Below are 16,868 nucleotides of genomic sequence, written 5' to 3'. Positions count from 1 at the left end.
GGGCGCTGCGCAGGAAGCCGCAGTCCCTCTGCGGAAGGCGCCGCTCTTGGCTTCGGCGGCGCCGCTGTAGCTTGGAGGCGGTACTTCCTCCAGCATTTGCCGCGAGTTATTGGCAAGTTCCCCTGCAGTTGTTTGGGCTGTCGCTGTGGCTGGTTCTGCGGTGTGCGGCCAGCCATGGAGCGCTCTGGGCCCAGCGAAGGTGGGTTTCATGAAGCGAGTCCGGGCGGGGTGGGCCGTGTCGGGGGAGCTGGGGCGCCGCACTAACTAGGCCGCCTCTCTTTTCCTCTTGCTCCAGTGACAGGCTCAGACGCATCGGGACCGGACCCGCAGCTTGTGGTCACCATGGGCTTCACGGGGTTCGGGGTTCGGTGAGTGACTGCCCCAGGCAGAGACCCTCTTCCTTTTGCAGAGGTTTGAAGAGCCGCAGAGTGGGAGGGGAGATCGAGCTGTCAACTCGGAATTACTGTAGCTCGGGTGCATACCTTGCAGTTTGTCAATATTCTTCTCCCATTTGTCTTCTATTCTGCGTATCCGTTGGAACCAACTCAGGTGACAGTTATGAGAGTCCTGGAGAGAGAGGAAGAGAAAGGATTTTTCTAATTTTAAGTCACCAATAATGCTAAAATGAACATTTTTGTAAATAACAGCATTTGTACGAGGATTTTTAAAAATATGTAATTCTGTAGGGTAGATTTCTAAAAGAGAGCCTAGTTTATTCAGAAGTATAAATACTTAAAAAGCTGAAAAATTGGGTATGTGCCTTTTAAAGCTTCTTGATGCTTACTGCCGTAATACCCATCAAAAAACTTGTTTCAGGTTATACCAAAGTTAACAGAATTTAAGAATGCCATTTTGACCATATCCGTACCAACACAGAGTAGGTATTATTATTTAAAAAGAAAATTATTTAAAAAATGAAAACAAAACTTTAGTAGACTGATACATGAGAAATGATTTCTCTTTATTTTGCATTTTAAAATTATAAATGCTGTTCATCCAAACATTGGGATTCTAACTTCCCTGAACCTTTTCTCAAGGTCTTCTTGTTCTCTTTTGACCAGCGTGTATTAATTCTATGATAGTAATTAAACAGTAGACTTACACATATTGGCCTTGGGTTGTGTTCACACATACTGGTTCTGTAGTTTTTCTATTCATTCTTTTTTTTTTGGAGACGGAGTCTCGCTCAGTCGCCCAGGCTGGAGTGCAGTGGCAAGATCTCGGCTCACTGCGAGCTCTGCCTCCCGGGTTCACGCCATTTTCCCGCCTCAGCCTCCCGAGTAGCTGGGACTACAGGCGCCCGCCACCTCGCCTGGCTAATTTTTTTTGTATTTTTAGTAGAGACGGGGTTTCACCGTGTTAGCCAGGATGATCTCGATCTCCTGACCTCGTGATCCGCCCGTCTCGGCCTCCGAAAGTGCTGGGATTACAGGCGTGAGCCACCGCGCCCAGCCTTTTCTATTTTTTTATTTTTTGAGATGGAGTCTCCCTCTGTCACCCAGGCTGGAGTGTACTAGTGCGATCTTGGCTCACTGCAGCCTCCTCCTCCCAGACTTAAGCCATCCTCCCACCTTAGTCTCCTGAGTAGCTGGGACCACAGATATGTGCCACCACACCTGGCTAATTTTTTATACTTTTGGTAGAGACGAGGTTTCACCATGTTGCCCAGGCTGATCGATCTCCTGAGCTCAAGCAATCCGCCCACCTGAGCCTCTCAAAGTGATTACAGGCATGAGCCACCCCACCCGGTATAAATCCTTCATTTTAGTACATCATTCCTTTACTCTGGAGTGAGAAAGGTGTCCATATGTTTGTGCCAAAGAGGGGAAATTTTTAAGAGTTTTGATAAAGTTACTGGGGGAGGAGGAGAATGTTTCCATGCTCATACAGTTCCTTGTTATAGGGCTGAGATTTCTGTTTCCCTCTTAGCTCCTTAAAGTACCTGCATTACTTCTCATGTTGCCCCTTTCGTCTTCAAGCCAACTATAATGCCTCAAATTCTTCTCAAACATTGGATCTCTCTGACTTCTTCTGCCATAGCTGTTGTGCATCTTTGCCTTTAAGGGCCAACTAGGATAGTTTCCCTATTTAAAAGTCCATAACCTTAATTACATTTGCAAAGGGTAACTTTTGGGACATTCTCCATTCTGCCTCCCACATTAGTGTTGTTGTTTCGTAGGGTAGGGATCTAGAGGAGGATGGGAAAGTTGCCTGGTTAATAGTACTTAGTGAAGGGATTGTCATCAGAAGTTTTCTGTGACTCAAACTCCTTCTGTGATATTTTATGGTTATATTGGAGCCATGCTATAAACTAGACAAAGTAAGTGTTTATTGATCAGTATTGATCACCTAAAGTTTGGCCAACTTACTGCAAGACAATCACAGTCTCCCATTTGTTCATGTTTTAGGTAAAAAAGCTCACACATTTGACTTGGAAGCAATGTTTGAACAAACTCAAAGAACAGCTGTGGAAAGAAGTCACAAAACACTGGGTAAGAAGTTCAGATATTTGTCGTTTTATTGGTTTAAGTACTATTTATACCTCATGCAAGTATATTAAAAAAGAGAAAAGAATGTTGGCTGGGCGCCGTGGCTCACGCCTGTAATCCCAGCACTTAGGGAGGCCAAGGCAGGCAGATCACCTGAGGTCAGAAGTTTGAGACCAGCCTGACCAACATGGTGAAACCCCATCTCAACTAAAAATACAATAATTAGCTGGGCATGGTGCAGGGGCCTGTAATCCCAGCTAGTCGTGCGGCTGAGGCAGTAGCTTCAGTTGAAGTTGGGAGGCGGAGGTTGCAGTGAGCTGATATCCCCCCATTGCACTCCAGCCTGGGGGACAAGGGTGAAATTCCATCTCAGAGAACAAAGAAAAAAAAGAATGTTGTTATGCTACTTGTCACTGTTGGGTTTTTTTTTTTTTTGAGATGGAGTCTCGCCCTGTTGCCCAGGCTGGAGTGCAATGGCATGATCTCGGCTCACTGCAGCCTCCACCTCCCCAGTTCAAGCGATTCTCCTGCCTCTGCCTCCCGAATAGCTGGGACTACAGGCACATGCCACCACGCCCGGCTAATTTTTTGTATTTTTAGTAGAGATGGGGTTTCACTGTGTTGGCCAGGCTGGTTTTGAACTCCTGACCTTGTGATCCGCCTACCTTGGCCTCCCAAAGTGCTGGGATTACAGACGTGAACCACCGTGTCCGGCTTTTTGGTTTTTGGTTTTTTTTTTTTTTGAGATGGAGTCTCGCTTTATTGCTGGGCTGGAGTGCAGGGGTGCGATCTTAGCTCACTGCAACTTCTACCTCCCCGGTTCAAGCAATTTTCCTGCCTCAGCCCTCCAAGTAGCTGGGACGACAGGTGTACGCCACCACGCCCAGCTAATTTTTGTATTGTTAGTAGAGATGGGGTTTCACCATGTTGGCCAAGATGGTCTTGATCTCTTGATCTTGTGATCTGCCTGCCTCCTAAAGTGCTGGGATTACAGGTGTGAGCCACCGCACCCAGCCCAATTTATCATTTTAAAACCAACAATGGGCCAGTTGTAGTGGCTCATGCCTGTAATCCCAGCATTTTGGGAGGCTGAGGTGGGTGAATCACCTAAGGTCAGGAGTTCGAGACCAGCCTGGCCAACATGGTGAAACCCCGTCTTGACTGAAAATAGAAAAACTATCCGGGTGTGATGGTGGGCACCTGTAATCCCAGCTACTAGGGAGGCTGAGGCAGGAGAATCGCTTGAACCTGGGAGGCAGAGGTTGTGGTGAGCTGAGATCGCACCATTACACTCCAGCCTGGGTGACAAGAGCAAAACTCCATCTCAAAATAAATAAAATAAAATAAAATGAAATGGGCGACAAGAGCAAAACTCCATCTTAAAATAAAATAAGATAAAATAAAATATAAAGTATAAAACAAAATAACTAAAATAAAAAATAAAATGTTGTACAGCAGCAATATCCAGTATTTGGCAGTGTGCCTGACAAAAAATATTTTCAGTCTTTGGAAGAAAACTTTTTTGTGGAGAAAAGAAAGCCATCTACATGTACTATTTTTTGAAAAAACCCTTCATTATTTGTTTTATTTGAGACGGAGGCCTGCTCTGTCGCCCAGGCTGGAGTGCAATGGTGCGATCTCAGCTCACTGTGACCTCCACCTCTTGGGTTCAAGTGATTCTCTTGCCTCAGCCTCCTGAGTAGCTGGGATTACAGGTGACCACCACCATGCCTGGCTAAATTTTTTGTATTTTTAGTGGAGACAGGGTTTCGCCATGTTGGCCAGGCTGGTCTCGAACGTGTGACCTCAGGTGATCCGCCTGCCTCGGCCTCCCAAAGTGCTGGGATTACAGGTGTGAACAACCATGCCAGGCCAAAACCCATCATTATTATTATTGTTATTATTGTTATTTTTTTGAGATGGCGTCTCACTCTGTCGCCCTGGCTGGAGTGCAGTGGTGTGATCTTGGCTCACTGCAAGCTCCGCCTCCCGGGTTCACGCCATTCTCCCGCCTCAGCCTCTGGAGTAGCTGGGACTACAGGTGCCTGCCAACACGCCTGGCTAATTTTGTTTTTGTATTTTTAGTAGAGATGGTGTTTCACCATGTTAGCCAGGATGGTCTCGATCTCCTGACCTCGTGATCCACTCACCTTGGCCTCCCAAAATGCTGGGATTACAGGTGTGAGCCACTGCACCCAGCAAAACCCTTCATTATTATGTGAAATTTCAAACACGGAAGTATAGTCACGAACTACCATGTACCTATCAATCAGATTTAACTACTGTAACAGTTCATGGCTAGCGTTACTTCTGTTTCCCCTTTCAGATGATTTCGAAGCAAATCTTGGACATCATTTTACTCATAAATATTTTTGTATATACCTTAAAACGATAAGGATTGTTTTAAAAAAAGCTTAGCCAAGATATGTGTAAGAGATAGGAAAAACCAAGTTGTTTCCTATCCTCTCACACTCCTCTCAGTACTTTCCCCTCCTTTTTTTTTTTTTTTTTTTTTTAAATTTGAGACAGGGTCTCACTGCTGTTGCTTAGACAGGTGCGCAGTGGCATGACCTTGCCTCACTACAGACTCCACTTCCCGGGCTCAGGTAATCCTCCCACCTCAGCCTCCCAAATAGTTGGGACTATAGGTTGGTGCTACCACACCCCACTAATTTTTTGTATTTTTAGTTGAGATAGATTTCACCATGTTGGCTGGGTGAGGTGGCTCATGCCTGTAATCCCAGCACTTTGGGAGGGGCGGATCACGAGGTCAGGAGATTGAGACCATCCTGGCTAACATGGTGAAACCCCGTCTCTACTAAAAATACAAAAAATTAGCTGGGTGTGGTGGCGGGTGCCTATAGTTCCAGCTACTTGGGAGGCTGAGGCGGGAGAATGGCGTGAACCCCAGAGGCAGAGCTTGCAGTGAGCCGAGATCTTGCCACTGCACTCTAGCCTGGGCGACAGAGTGAGACTCTTGTCTCAAAAAAAAAAAAAAAAATTCACCATGTTGTCCAGGCCAGTCTTGAATTCCTGGGCTCAAGTGATCCACCTGTCTTGGCCTCCCAAAGTGCTAGGATTACAGGTGTGAACCAGTACTTTATTTCTGACACCAGATATGTAGGAGTTTTCCCCCACACATCAACCAGTTCTCCAACTGGGTATCCGGTAACTCACTTTAATTCTGACACCGTCTGCCTGGAGACTACCACAAGACTGCCTTCACTCAGACACTAATCTCAATTCACAGGTTGTGACCAGTGCTTCTAATCTACTGGCTATAAGTCAGGGTTCCCATGACCACTCTTTTTGCTTTGATAATTAGCTAGGACGGCTCACAGGGAAACACTTTACTTATGTTTAACAGTTTATTATAAAGAATATTATAAATGATACAGATGAACAGCCAGATGAAGTAATGCATTGGGCAAGGTATGCGGTGGGAGAGGTGCAGAGCTTCTGTGCCCTCTCTGGGTGCACCAACTCCCCAGCATCCCCCTGTGTTCAACTACCCTGAAGCTAATCACATCTAGTGGTTCAGGAGTGTCTAGGCTGGGTGCAGTGGCTCACACCTATAATCCCAGCACTTTGGGGGACCAAGGTAGGAGGATCACTTGATCCCAGGAGTTTGAGACAAACCTGGGCTAACACAGTGAGATCCCGTTCAAAAAATCTTATAAAAATTAGCTGGGCATGGCGGCGCACACCTGTAGTCCCAACTACTTGGGAGGCTGAGGTGAGAGGGTCACTTGAGCCCAGAGGTTGAGGCTGCAGTGAGCTATGATCATGCCACTGCATCACAGCCTGAGTAAAAAAGCAAGAGCCTGTCTCAAAAAAAAAAAAAAAAAAAAAATTTCTATAGATCTTAATTTCCAGCTTCCCCAGAGATTGGTGGGTGGGGATGAAAGTTCCAATTATCTAACCCGTCAGTTTTTTTAGTGAGCAGCAGTCCCATCCTGAGGCCTAGGGATCCCACACTAAGTCACTTCAATAGCATAAATTTAGGTGGGATCCAAAGGGGCTTCTAATGAATAACAAAAGACAGCTCCTATCACTCAGGAAATTCCAAGGGTTTCAGAAGCTGTGTGGCAGGAACCTGAAACAAAGACCAAATATATATATATATTTTTGAGACAGAGTCTCGCTCTGTCGCCCAGACTGGAGTGCAGTGGTGTGATCTCGACTCACTGCAAGCTCCGCCTCCCGGGTGCACGCCATTCTCCTGTCTCAGCCTCCTGAGTAGCTGGGACTATAGGCACCGGGCACCATGCCTGGCTAATTTTTTTTTTTTTTTTTTGTATTTTTAGTAGAGACAGGGTTTCACCCTGTTAGCCAGGATGGTCTCGATCTCCTGCCCTCATGATCCGCCCCCCTCAGCCTCCCAAAGTGCTGGGATTACAGGAGTGAGCCACCGCACCTGGCCAAATATATTTCATATTATGCCACAATATCATCACATCAAAAAACAATTTTAATATCCTCAAACGATAGACAAAGACATGCTATCTGAGGCATTTACAAATGTTTTAAACAATTTAGTGAATGTTTGTACTATCACAGTATAGGTACCTTGTATTTGCCATTTTAAGCATATAATACAACATGTTTTGAACAAGGATTGTCTTATTTGGCTATGTCGGCTTTTTGTTGTTATTTACTTATTTATTTTTTTGAGTTGCCCAGACTGGAGGGCAATAGTGTAATCTAGGCTCACTGCAACCTCTGCCTCCTGGTTCAAGCAATTTTCCTGCCTCAGCCTCCCCAGTAGCTGGGATTATAGGCACGTGCCACCACCACCTGACTAACTTTTGTATTTTTAGTAGAGACAGGGTTTCACCATGTTGGCCAGGCTGATCTCAAACTCTTGAAGTCAAGTGATCCGCCTGCCTCAACCTCCCAAAGTGAAGCTTTTTATTTTTAATTTTTTTATTTTCAATTTTTGTGGGTACATAGTAGATGTATATATTTGTGGGTATGTAAGTTTTATAGCCCCTGGTACTTTGCTTTGTAAAATAGGTTCTCAGTAATATTTTGAGAATATTAAATTGAATTTAGACCTGTAATACTGTCTTGTTAAAAAATGAAATCTTGCTGCTTTGGAGAATGTTTTAAAATGGCACAATCTGGGCTGGGCACGGTGGCTCACGCCTGTAATCCCAGCACTTTGGGAGCCTGAGGTGGGTGGGTCACCTGAGATCAGGAGTTTGAGATCAGCCTGGCCAACGTGATGAAACCCTGTCTCTACTAAAGATACAAAAATTAACCGGGTGTGGGTGGCGGGCACCTGTAGTCCCAGTTACTCGGGAGGCTGAGGCAGGAGAATCGCTTGAACCTGGGAGGCGGAGGTTGCAGTGAGCCTAGATTGTGCCATTGCACTCCAGCCTGGGCGACGAGAGCAAAACTCTGTCTAAAAAAAAAAAAAATGGGCACAATCTGTTGGAAAGAGCTTGGGATTTGGAATTGGGGGACCTAGGTTTAAGGCCCAGCCCCACAGTCTACTAGATGAGTAACATTGGATGGGTTTTCCAATTTCTGATCCTTCATAACCCTGTTGTGTGTGTATCATCTACCTTGGACGTTTCTTGAAGAGATTAAGATGTTGGGTGTAGTAGCTTATAAACAGCAAAGTACTTTATAAATATTATTTTAAATTCTTGTAATTTTTCTTAGTAAAGCATGTATACATTTTACCTAAGAGGAACTTGGGGAGTTATTAAATTTTTAAATTTTTGAAAAATTGTCTCAAGACTATGATCTCCTTTGATTTTTGTGGACAAATTATTGAACTTTCTTGATTTACTATTACATCTTTGGACTGCAGTTTCTACCTCTGATCTAAACACATGAATCTAAATTGATTATCTCTTTGAAAAATCTACTTAGCTTTAGCACGTAAATAGAAAATACCATTGGGATAATTTATGGAAGTAGTATTCATCATTATATGGGAAGTTACTCATAAGAGATTTTTTTTTTTTTTTTTTTAGTGTTCTTCCAGACTTGGCAATTAGATTACATTTAGACCGTCGAATTAAAAGTGATTCCCTGTGAGCTGTCCTAGCAAATTATGAAATTGAAGAGAGGGGTTGCGGGAACCCTAGTTTCCTACCATGAGACAGTTTGACTTACTTTTCTTTAAAAGTTGAAAATTCTCATATGGGCATTATTTATCTCATGCTTGGTATTGGAGTCTTTCCCTGGGTATTCATAGTACACTTGAGGAAACTAAGACTTTGACCCTTTTAATAGCAAGTTTGTCTGTATGTGGGGGTATGAGCTGTCTTGGTTGCTAAGTGCACTAGTGGAAAGGATGAATTACTATAAAACCCCGATAAAATATGTGCTGTGAAGGGTCTGGAAATGATAATGGTACAAATTTTTTTTAAATGTTTTTTATGTTCTTGAAAGCTGTAAGTGTGTGTAGGACATATGAAATACAGATTTTTTTTCTTTTTCTTGAGACAGAGTCTCTCTCTGTCGCCCAGGCTAGAGTGCAGTGGGACGATCTCAGCTTATTGCAACCTCCGCCTCCCAGGTTTGAGGAATTCTTCCTCAGCCCCCTGAGTAGCTGGGATTACAGGCGTGCACCACCATGCCTGGCTAATTTTTTGTATTTCTAGTAGAGACGGGGTTTCACCATGCTGGCCAGGCTGGTCTCGAACTCCTGACCTCGTGATCTGCCTGCCGCAGCCTCCCAAAGTGTTGGGATTACAGGCGTGAGCCACCGCGCCCAGCTGAAATACAGACTTTTTTTTTTTTTTTTTTTAGAAGTGTTATACTAGGCTGGGGACAGTGGCTCATGTCTGTAATCCTAGTACACTTTGTGAGGCTGAGGCAGGTGGATTGCTTGAGGCCAGGAGTTGGAGACCAGCCTGGCCAACATGGTGAAACCCCATCTCTACTAAAAATACAAAAATTAGGTGGGCATGGTGACTGGCGTCTATAATCCCAGCTGCTCGGGAGGCTTAGGCAGGAGAATTGCTTGAACCTAGGAGGTGGAGGTTGCAGTGAGCTGAGATTGTGCCACTGCACTGACACCTGGCGACAGAGTGAGACTCCGTCTCAAAACAAAAACAAAAACTAAGGGAAAAAGAGGGAGGACTGGCATGGTGTGGTGGCTCACATTTGTAAATCTTGAGGCAGGAGGATTGCTTGAGCCCAGGAGTTCAAGACCAGCCTGGGCAACATAGTGAGACCCCGTCTCTATTAAAAAAAATAATAGTAAAAAAGAGGGAAATGGCAGCTGAGTAGGCAGCCTCAATATCTTTTCCTGATTAGTAATATAATTGACTGTAAGACCTGAGGGAGAAGATGAGCCTAGAGTACAAATGCTGCTGCCACCCCCTGAGGTCTGGAGGGATTGGCTGAAAAAACAGGGTGAACTAGGAGCTAAGCAGGCCCATTCTTTTTTTTTTTTTTTTTCTTTTCATGGAGATGGAGTCTCACTCTGTGGCCCAGGCTGTAGTGTGGTGGTACTATCTCAGTTTACTGCAACCTCCGCCTTCTGGGTTCCAGCGATTCTCCTGCCTCAGTGTCCCGAGTAGCTGGGACTACAGGTGCACACCGCCATGCCTGGCTAATTTTTTGTATTTTAGTAGAGACGGGGTTTCACCATATTGCCCAGGCTGGTCTCAAACTCCTGAGCTCATGCAAGCCACATGCCTTGGCCTCTCAAAGTGCAAGGATTACAGGTGTGAACCATCACGCCTGGCTTCAGGCCCATTCTTTTTTTTTTTTTTTTTTTTTGAGACGGAGTCTTGCTCTGTTGCCCAGGCTGGAGTGCAGTGGCGCCATCTCCACTCACTGCAAGCTCTGCCTCCCGGGTTCATGCCATTCTCCTGCCTCAGCCTCCAGAGTAAGCTGGGACTACAGGCACCCGCCACCACGCCCGGCTAATTTGTGCATTTTTAGTAGAGACGGGGTTTCACCATGTTGCCCAGGCTGGCCTCGAACTCCTGACCTCGTGATCCACCTGCCTCGGCCTCCCAAAGTGCTGGAATTACAGGCATAAGCCACCATGCCTGGCCTTGAAACCATCTTTCAAAATGTGGTCTTTTTGCAGTACAGCTGGGATGTCTCTGTCTTTCCCACCATGCACCTTTGTAAAGGGGCGGCTTCTGTCTCGCTGGTGTAACAGATTTCTTCCCTGTGTCCCCTTTCTCTTCTGTCAATGAATCATGGGTGGCTGTCGGCTGGGGACCACTCTCAGTGTCTCATACACTGAATGCAACATGGACACAAACTTATGATAGGGCCAGGTGGGGGACAGCAAGAGGTGAGCACCGGAAATTGCATGAGCTAGGAGTCACTGGCTGGTGGTGGGTGAGGGACACGTGGTAGGGACAGTTTAGCAGCTGGATCAGGGTGGAAATCCAAATCCTGACAGCTGAGAAGTGGCACAGACCTGCTTCTGTGAGGACAAGTGTCCCCTGGCCCTGGCCAACTGGCCTCCAGGGGGTATTGTTGGAATATGCGGTCATCCCAAAGCACTTCAGCTTGAAGAAGATCTAGGACACAGTTTGTTGTTACCACCTCAGAGCATTTAGATGGGACGTGATGGATGGAATTGAAGTTGAAAACCCATTCACCATTTCTAGTTAGTACAGTAGGCTCCTAATTTACAGAAATGCTTGTGAAATTGAGAATCATGATAAAATCCTCATACCTCCTCCTCTTTTGACCAAATCTTTCTAAAATGCACAATTATAATTTCTTATCTTTAGGAAAAAGTAATTATGTTATATGTGTTATATACACTATGTAAATATAGTTCATTAAATCATTCTTTGGTGTTTGAAGACTTTCTAATTCATTACTTCATTCCAGACATCAATGACAACAGCACATACCGAGCAGGTACACATATGAGCTACCTACTAATATGCCCTGATTTTGATTGTATTTTGTGAAAACCTTGGTATGGGTTATTTTTAAATGAATGTTTTCCCAAATTTTAAGCTGAAACTAGGATGCATCAAAATTATCTTGGTCATAATCTTGTCAATGATGTCATCTAAAGGCCACCAGGAACACACCTGTAGCCCAGCAAAGTTGAGGCCATCGACTGGCTCATCACAACAAGGAAGGCTGTGCACCACTGGGACCCAGCAGCAGCTCAGCAGCAGCAGTGAGAGGGCCTTGGGAAAGACTTGGAGGGTTTGGCTTATACAAGGTGATCTTGGGGAGGGTCAAGGAAACAGGCTGTGATGGTTAATATTGAGTGTCAACTTGATTGGATTGAAGGATGCAAAGGATTGTTCCTGGGTGTATATGTGAGAGTGTGGCCAAAGGAGATTAACATTTTAGTCAGTGGACTGGGAGAGGCACACCCACCCTCAATCTGGGTGGGCATCATCTAATCAGCTGCCACAGCAGCTAAAATAAAGCAGGCAGAAGTTGGAATGAGCAGACTTGCTGAGTGTTCCAGCCTTCATCTTTCTCCCATGCTGGATGCTTCCTGCCCTCGAACATCAGACTCCAAGTTCTTCAGCTTTTTTTTTTTTTTTTGGACTCTTGGACTTACAGCATTGGTTTGCCAGGGGCTCCCAGGCCTCTAGCCGCAGACTGAAGGCTGCACTGTGAGCCTCCCTACCTTTGAAGTTTGGGACTCAGACTGGCTTCTTGGCTCCTCAGCTTGCAGTCGGCCTATTGTGAGACTTCCCCTTGTGATCATGTGAGCCAATTCTCCTGATAAACTCACCTTCATATATACATCTATCCTATTAGTTCTATCCGTTTAGAGAACCCTGACTAATACACAGGCCATGCTCAGATGGAGTGCTGTCTGGAAATGGGAGTAATTCTGTGGTTGAATGTCTTAATTGTCCTGGAAGGTGGGAGAAATGGAATGAGGCTGGTGCTACAATTGATGTAAAAGCAGCAGCTGCTCACATAAGCCGGGGTGGAGGATGCCTAGGCGTATTTGTGGTATTGACCATGTTCTTGTTTTTGTTTGTGACCAGACCAGATTACAGAGGGGTATTGATTTGCCTTGCCCCCGCCCCCACCATCACAGTGTGTCCCTGTCCAGTGTTGGTGCTGTGTGGCATTGCTTGTGTCCATAGGAGTCCATCAAGGCAGAGCGGCAGAGCGGCAAGCAGAGCGGCAAGGCAGGTCAGCTTCCGGCTCTTCCAGGCTGCATGTCCCCCTCAATATCCTGTAAGTTCTGATCTGGCAGATACTGAATACTCAAGGGTTCACATTCTCTTAGCCTAGAGGTGGCTGCAAGAATGAAAGGCATTTGGCTGATGTGTTTTCAAAGGAGAGGGAAGCTGTCTGTGTTTGTTACCTGCGGCTGCATAACAAATGACCACAGCCTAGTGACTCAAAACATCACACACCAGTTACCTCCGCTCTCAGTAGGTCAGAAGTTCAGGCATAGACCAGCTGTGGCCTCCACTCTGAGTCTCAGCAGGCTACAATCAGGGCTCAGTCAGGGCTGTGGTCCTGTCAGAGGCTCTCTCAGGTTGTTGGTGGTTGTAGGACTGAAGTTCCTGTTTTTGGGGGGTAGTCAGCTGGTGTATTAGTCTATTTTCACACTAGTGATCAAGACATACCCGAGACCGGGTACTTTATTAAAAAAAAAAAAGAGGTTTAATGGACTCACAGTTCCATGTGGCTGGGGAGGCCTCACCATCATGGTGGAAGGCAAAAGGCCCACCTTACATGGCAGCAGGCAAGAGAGAATGAGAGCCAAGCAAAAGGGGTTTCCCCTTATAAAACCATCAGATCTCATGAGACTTATTCACTACCATGAGAACAGTATGGGGGAAACTGCCCCCATGAATCAATTATCTTCCACCAGTTCCCTCCCACAACATGTGGGAAATATGGGAGCTACAATTCAAGATGAGATTTGGGTGGAGACACAGCCAAACCTATCAGCTGGGGACCACTCTCAGCATCCAGGGGCTGCCATGGTTCCTGCCACATGGCCTCTCACAGTCCTTCCTATAGGACGGCAGCCCTTCTTACACAAGTCAGCAAGAGGGAGTCTCTCTTGCCCCCACTTGCTAAGGCAGAATCTCACATCAGATGTAACCATCACATTTGCTGTATTCTATTATCTAGAATTATGTCACAAGCCCCTTTATGCTCAGGGGAGTGGATTATCCAAAACATAGATCACCGGGGAGGGGTGACCTTAGGGTGTGTTGGCCACATCACCTAAGAGTACATGAAACATCTCTCTCATTTCTTCCATTTCTTGAGCTTTTAAAAAATTTTAAACGAATAAACATAGACAATTTAGGTTGCATGAATGAATACAAAGAAGAACATATTATCATTCCTAATTATCACAATTTCTACCACAAACATGATGAATTGTAACACTTGCATGTATGTACTGGACCAGTTTTTATAAACCATCCCAGCTATGGTCTGCTGCTCAATGGGACTGATGACTCTTCAGACGTATGGTCTGGGATCAACCACATTCTTGCAGGCCACCAAGAGGAGGCATCCATCTCCACAGAAGAGAGACGAGCTCTGGGCTCCTGCACCTTCACAGTGAAGGCTCAACGGGGCACATGGATCTCTGTGTTGCCCTAGATAGGACATTTTTACATTTTTGACTTTTCACCCTGTAGTGGGGGTTAAGGGCAGAGCTACAGGCATCTGGTAGGTATAGCCTAGGGACATTGCTAAATACTCTTCCACAGGGAGGACAGTCTCTGACCACAAAGAATTGTCCAGCCTAAAACGTCAATAGTGCCAGGGTTAAGAACACTGGCTCCAACCTTGCACAAGTCTGTGAAGTTCAAGACATTGTGGAGGTTTTTCTTGTTTTATTTATTTATTTTTTTGGCTGTTTACAAAGGTGTTCTTTTCTCTTCCCATCATACTTCACAGTTCAACCCAATGGAAATGGATTGAAAGAGTGAAAGTCACTGGTCTCAAAGAATCTACGGAATTTAGCATTTTGAAAATCACAGAGCAATTTTGGGTAGGTATTCACATGCACTAAAAAACCAGGCAAACATCTGACTCCCAGGATAAAGTGACTGAGAGCAGTAGAAGACTTGTTGAGCCTTAAGGAATAAGAGGAAAATTATGTTATGAAGTGCAGGAACAGCACAGACCCAGACGAGGGGATGCAGCCCGGAGCCAGTAACCCGGCGCCTCCTCCTCCCCAGGGCGCAGCGCTGGCTGCTCCCCGGATACCGTGATCACACGTCCCAGGTCCTGAGAGCGCCTCATAGGTAGACAGTTCTTTGGGACTTTTGGGACGCAGCACTTGAAGAGAGGTTTACCTAAACTTTCCTCCTGGGAGCCTGTCATCATTTGAAAGTAACAGAAGAAAGCTGTCAGGCTGAGGAAAGTTTCAACAGGCACTTGGTGAGAATGGGAAGCATCCATTCATTGGGAAATCACGGGGACAGAGGAGGAATTCACGGGATCAGAGCACTGAGAAACTCCAGAGGCTTCTGGTTCACCGCCCTGATTCCACAGATGTGGGTCAGAGGCAGAGATGGAAGTTGGAATGGACAAGCCTGCCCTCTCCTCAGCTCTCCATGGCTCTGTCCTCAGGCTGTTTCTGCAATTTGACATGAGGCCTGGCCCCAGGGAAACCAGTGGGGCCTCATCTCCTCCCTGTGCTGCTCTGAGGTGGAGCCTTCTCAGGGTCAGTCCAGCTCTGGAGCCCCTCTCCAGCTCGGTCACCAAAGCTGTCTGGTCCCAGGGCAGTGTGGAGTGACAGGCACGCCAGCCAATCCAATCGGCCATTTCATACCCAATGCATGTGACTGATAAAGAGATAACACCCTGTCTCCAAGACACAGGCTTTACATAAACAGCTTTAATGACTTCTTCACTTAGGGACAAGACTCCTTAGTGGTGGAACCTCAGGCATCCATGCAGGATGTAAGAAAGCTCCCGTATATACATGAACTGAGAAGTGTGTAGAAGAGTAAATACTGTAATAGGTAATAAAATGTATGTATTTTTATTTATGTGCTACTTTGTCTTTCTCCCTCTCTGTGTATATACACATACATACAAAAATGTATTCATTCTATGGAAAACATGAAAGATGTAATATTCTTTACATATTTAATTAATGTATTTTTTCTGATCATATGAACACCACAAATATAATTTTATAATTTTTTTACCTAACAATAAGTCTTAAACATAAATATACATGGACAATATCATAGTTTTTTTTTTAATCATAATTAAAATGGTTGTGAAACATTCCACTTTAATTCATTCCTCCTAATCCCTAGGGTGGTACATTAAGTGAGGGTTTCTCAGCCTCGGTACCATGGGCAGTTTGGGTTAGCCCATCCTTTTCAGAGACACTGCCCTGGACACTGCAGGATGTGGCTTCACATTCTGGTCTCTGCCCACTGGATGCCAGAAACATCCCTTCCCCTTAGCTGTGGTAATCAACACTGTCACTAGACATTGCCAAATGTCCCCTGGAGGACAAAATCACCCTAGGTTGAGAACCAGTGGCATTTTTTTTAAACTATCATTGTAAGACAAAGCCACCTGAACTTCCTTGCTGATGTCTCTTCACTTCTTTTTTTTTTTTTTTTTTGAGACAGAGTCTTGCTCTGTTGCCCAGGCTGGAGTGCAGTGGCATGATCTCGGCTCACTGCAAGCTCCGCCTCCCAGGTTCACACCATTCTCCTGCCTCAGCCTCCTGAGTAGCTGGGATTACAGGCGCCCGCCACCACACCTGGCTAATTTTTTTGTGTTTTTAGTAGAGACGGGGTTTCACCATGTTAGCCAGGATAGGCTCGATCTCCTGACCTCATGATCCGCCCACCTTGGCCTCCCAAAGTGCTGGGATTACAGGCATGAGCCACCACGCCTGGCCTCAACTTCTATCTAATTCTATTCAGAGGGAAAATTTCTAGAAGCGACATTCCTGTTGCAGAGAAGAGATATTCACTTGAGAACCTTGATATATATTTGCCAAATTTCTGTCCAAGTATCATTTTTAAAAAGTTAAAAACATGACTTTCATAGAAACACATACGGAGCATATGTCAAAGATGTATTTCTCTAATGCAATGAGACAGCCAGCAAGACAGTGAGGCTGCAGCAGCATGGGGACAGAGTGCAGAAAGAGGTCGCAGAAGCCTTGGAAGAACGTCATTCAGTCATACAAGGACACCCTGATGCTTGCGCTGCGGTCCTTTCCAAGTCCACGGGGCGTTGTTCCTTTGTGTCAACACCAGATAAGACTCATGGGGATTGCTGTCAGTGTTGTGTATGTTATAATACCAGGGACCCTCACATGGCTGTGTTAGATTCTAACCAATAGAAAATAATAAGTCAAAGCAAAGACCGTTACTGATTCCTTCCATTGTTTCTTTAGAGACTTTGGTTTAGTGCTCTAAACTTTCTGATTATCAGATCTTATGT

General features: G+C 45.4%; 1 long non-coding RNA gene and 1 pseudogene across 9 annotated transcripts in view, besides 2 other annotated features; both read left to right on the top strand.

Moving 5' to 3' along the window:
- Positions 3 to 52: an enhancer, noted in NCBI's record as "active region_24711". NCBI's record gives its function as "activates an Ori minimal core promoter by ATAC-STARR-seq in GM12878 lymphoblastoid cells {active_cell/tissue: GM12878}" and the evidence as "EXISTENCE:reporter gene assay evidence [ECO:0000049][PMID:35858748]".
- Positions 73 to 172: an enhancer, noted in NCBI's record as "active region_24710". NCBI's record gives its function as "activates an Ori minimal core promoter by ATAC-STARR-seq in GM12878 lymphoblastoid cells {active_cell/tissue: GM12878}" and the evidence as "EXISTENCE:reporter gene assay evidence [ECO:0000049][PMID:35858748]".
- LINC00680 (long intergenic non-protein coding RNA 680) lies at positions 74 to 15,686 on the top strand. Of its 6 annotated transcripts, none has more exons than NR_132995.1 (6): positions 74 to 199; positions 296 to 368; positions 2,409 to 2,492; positions 11,509 to 11,661; positions 12,452 to 12,602; positions 14,343 to 15,686. It is a non-coding gene; the product is annotated as a long intergenic non-protein coding RNA 680 (long non-coding RNA). The 6 variants fall into 6 exon arrangements; NR_125727.1 differs by having other exon boundaries at positions 12,452 to 12,647; NR_132994.1 differs by having other exon boundaries at positions 11,509 to 12,162; positions 12,452 to 12,647.
- The window catches only part of LINC00680-GUSBP4 (LINC00680-GUSBP4 readthrough, transcribed pseudogene), a 41,566-nt pseudogene continuing 24,771 nt past the window's right edge, over positions 74 to 16,868 (top strand). The window contains exons 1-5 of one of the 3 annotated variants that reach the window (NR_132997.1): positions 74 to 199; positions 296 to 368; positions 2,409 to 2,492; positions 11,509 to 11,616; positions 12,452 to 12,602. The product of NR_132997.1 is annotated as an LINC00680-GUSBP4 readthrough, transcribed pseudogene, transcript variant 1 (transcript). The remainder of the gene's footprint in view (positions 200 to 295; positions 369 to 2,408; positions 2,493 to 11,508; positions 11,617 to 12,451; positions 12,603 to 16,868) is intronic. The other 2 variants (NR_003660.2, NR_132998.1) reach the window with 2 other exon arrangements.

The sequence above is a fragment of the Homo sapiens genome, chromosome 6, assembly GCF_000001405.40.
Source record: "Homo sapiens chromosome 6, GRCh38.p14 Primary Assembly".
NCBI lineage: Eukaryota > Metazoa > Chordata > Mammalia > Primates > Hominidae > Homo > Homo sapiens.
The sequence above is the reverse complement of the archived record's forward strand: the minus strand, read 5'-3'. Positions and strand labels throughout refer to the sequence as shown.